The sequence below is a fragment of the Homo sapiens genome, chromosome 20 (genome assembly GCF_000001405.40).
Source record: "Homo sapiens chromosome 20, GRCh38.p14 Primary Assembly".
NCBI classification, from domain to species: Eukaryota; Metazoa; Chordata; class Mammalia; order Primates; family Hominidae; genus Homo; species Homo sapiens.
The window spans coordinates 57,919,633-57,922,660 of NC_000020.11; the positions used below are offsets into that span (position 1 = coordinate 57,919,633).

General features: G+C 49.4%; 1 annotated feature.

Annotated features, from left to right (window-relative positions):
* Nucleotides 1,653-2,152: an enhancer, noted in NCBI's record as "H3K27ac hESC enhancer chr20:56496341-56496840 (GRCh37/hg19 assembly coordinates)". NCBI's record gives its function as "activates a minimal SCP1, AML or CMV promoter by ChIP-STARR-seq in naive H9 embryonic stem cells {active_cell/tissue: H9 hESC(naive)}" and the evidence as "EXISTENCE:reporter gene assay evidence [ECO:0000049][PMID:30033119]".

Genomic DNA, 3,028 nt, shown 5'->3' on the forward strand with positions numbered 1-3,028 from the left:
TAATTTGTATAGATGGGCACCAAAGGCAAAATCAAGTAGGGTAACTATGACCCTTGAAAATCACTGAACCTGCCTACTACCTACAGTGTCTTCTGCTGAGCATCAAATGCAGCATGGGCTTGTTTTTAGAGACCCAGTGGTTGGAAAGTATATGTCTTTAGACTCTAGACTCCTTTTCCAGCTGGGAAGCTCACATTCGTGTCCCCAGGAGCCAAGCTGGGCTGATGGCTGATTGATATCTTTGCTATATTGCTATATTGTTACATTACTGGGGATAGGAAGGTGGGGGTCTAAATGCATGTGTTCGGGTCACTACCTTGAGCTGAAAAGAGGCATCAAAGGATTTCGGAACTGGAATTCCCAATTTTACCTACAATGAAACAGAATTAGAGAGCTTGCCCTGGCTCTGTAATTAGAGGGTGGCCTGGCTAATGAGGACTATTAAGGTTTCCTAAGTTGTATGATGACAGGAGAGGAGTGAGATTTAAGAAAATGCCAAATAAAATTGGACCCAACACTGATCCTACTTCAGCCAGATAAGCCCCTGTCACTGGTCGCCTTCATTTCTTTTTGCTAAACTGGTTTTATATCCTTGATACACAATGTTCTTCCTCATTGCCATTTTGATTCTTTCTTTACCAAATGTCTTAGTCAGTTCAGCTGCTATAACAAACATACCCTAGACTGGGTGGCTTAAGTGACAAATTTTAATTACTCACAGGTCTGGGGGCTGAGAAGTCCACAATGAAGACATCAGCAGATCCAGTGTCTGGTGAGGACTGGAGGGTTCCTAATTGGAGATGCACCTTCTCACTGTCCTTACATGGCAGAGAGAGAGAAAGCAAATTCTCATGTCTCTTTTTATAACCCCATTCATGAAGGCTGCATGCTCATGACCTAAATACCAATCAAAGGCCCCACCTCTAAGTATCCTTATGTTAGGGGTTAGGGCTTCAACATTGGAATGTGTGGGGGGAGCACAGACATGCAGCCTATGGCACCAACCGCCAGGAGACACCAGTGCTGGGTCAGGAGCTGTCTGGATTCTACAGAAAGCAGAGCCTGAAGTGACCCCAGGGAGCAGGGAATCCCCATTGAGACAAGGAAGGAGGAGACAGCAACACAAGGCTGTGTTACCAAGGCACAGATGGCTCAGTTCCCTGGGACCCCGGAGAAGCAAACAGAAGTTGTCCACCTGAACGCAGAGGGTGTGTGCTCCTGTGCCTCTGATTCAAGTATCTTTCTTCTTCCAGTATAATGGGAGTGTGGGGAAAAGGATGCCTCTTTATCGTGACTCTACTTGGACTTTACAATATAAATATTCAGTAGGCAAATGTGGGCTGTTTTTACAGCATCAGTCTGTCAGCTGGCTTCCCCCATTGATTGACTGGCTCATGCTTCTGGACCATACCTGGGTGTGGCGGAGAAGGCTCCCCTGGCTTCTGAGAAGGCTGTGAAGCAGAGGATGCCCATGCACTTGGGGTGGGGCATGTGGAGTCTGAGCTGGCAAGAGCCAGCCACTGCCGCTGACGTCAGAGGTGCTTGGAGAGGGTGAGGCACGTGGACACCACAGCCAGACCTTGGTGCGAGGATTGCTCATCCTCACCAGGGCTCAGCAACATACAGAGGCCCAGAGAGGTCAAATGATCTCCTTATATGTCCCTATCCACCCAGCCTCTGCCCCACGAGCTCAGGCCTATGGAGGTGGCATGCTTCCTACTCTAATTCCCATATGACTTCTGTCTTTCCTCCAAAACCGTGGGCTCCGAATTGGCAGAATTGTCTCTTTTGCTGCTCAATCCCAGTGCTGAGCATTGGCCTGCACCTAGTAGGTCCTCAGCCAATGTTTTTCAATGAATGCAGCAATGATGACATGAAAACAGCTGTTTAAATCCCTGTGCCTCTGATTCAAGTATCTTTCCTCTTCCAGTGTAACAAAAGTGTGGGGGAAAGGATGCCTCTTTATTGTGATTCGACTTGGATTTTACAATGTAAATATTCAGTAGCCAAAGGTGGGATGTTTTTACAGCAACGATTAGCACTCCGGCAGGCTGGGCAAATATAACTTGTCAGATGGGATTGGAGGTCTTCGAGTGTTGACTTAACACCTATAAACGGCGCAGAAACAACCCATTTCTGCCTGGCCCATGCTTCTCTTCTCCTGGCCTCTCCTCTCCTCCACAGCAGATGGTGCCCTCAGGCAAGCCCGGGAGGACACCCTGGCTTTGGGCCTTGGCCACCTGGATGCCTATAGTGCCATTTTCTGAGTTGGAGAAGAGGGGCTCAGGGATTGGCACTGGAGGCTGGAGATTCAGGATCAAGATCTCAGCTGGGGAGTGGCAGGGCGGCCAGCGTGAGAGCCAACTCCCTTGTGGGTACTTCCGGCCAAGACCCTCCACATCCTGAAGGTGCCTCCCAGTTATCTTCCTCTGAGAGCTGTATGGGGAAGCTGGGGTCAGGATCAGGGAGAAGCTTCGGGGAAGGCAGACCGGTTGCATCATGTCTCTTCACCTCCATCTGTGCATGTGGGCATCTGGGGAGTGTGGTAATTAGCAGAATTACTCTCCACACACACAGGAACACTCACGTGCACACCCAGACACATACATACACACATGTGCACACATGCATATCCACACACTTGCACACATGTACACACATGTGCCCACATGCAAATGCACACACACATGCACACACATACATACATGTGCCCACAATGCCTATGCACACACACACATCCACACATACACAGTCGGCTCAGACCTGGCAGTAGCTGACACACTTGCTGTCTAGACAAGGCTAAGAGCTGGTGTGCCACTGTTGGGGAGTGGGCAGCTTTGAGCTTCAGCTGGGGCTGCATGCAAACATGAACACACGCTCACGTGTGCACATACATACACACGCATGCACACTTGCACACTGGGATGGTTTAGTAAAGTTTAATTAACATGCAGAATGTGCTTGATCACACCCGGGGGGAAATCCCAGCGCATGGAAGGGCTGGACAGTGAGCTCCCACGCTTTGGAT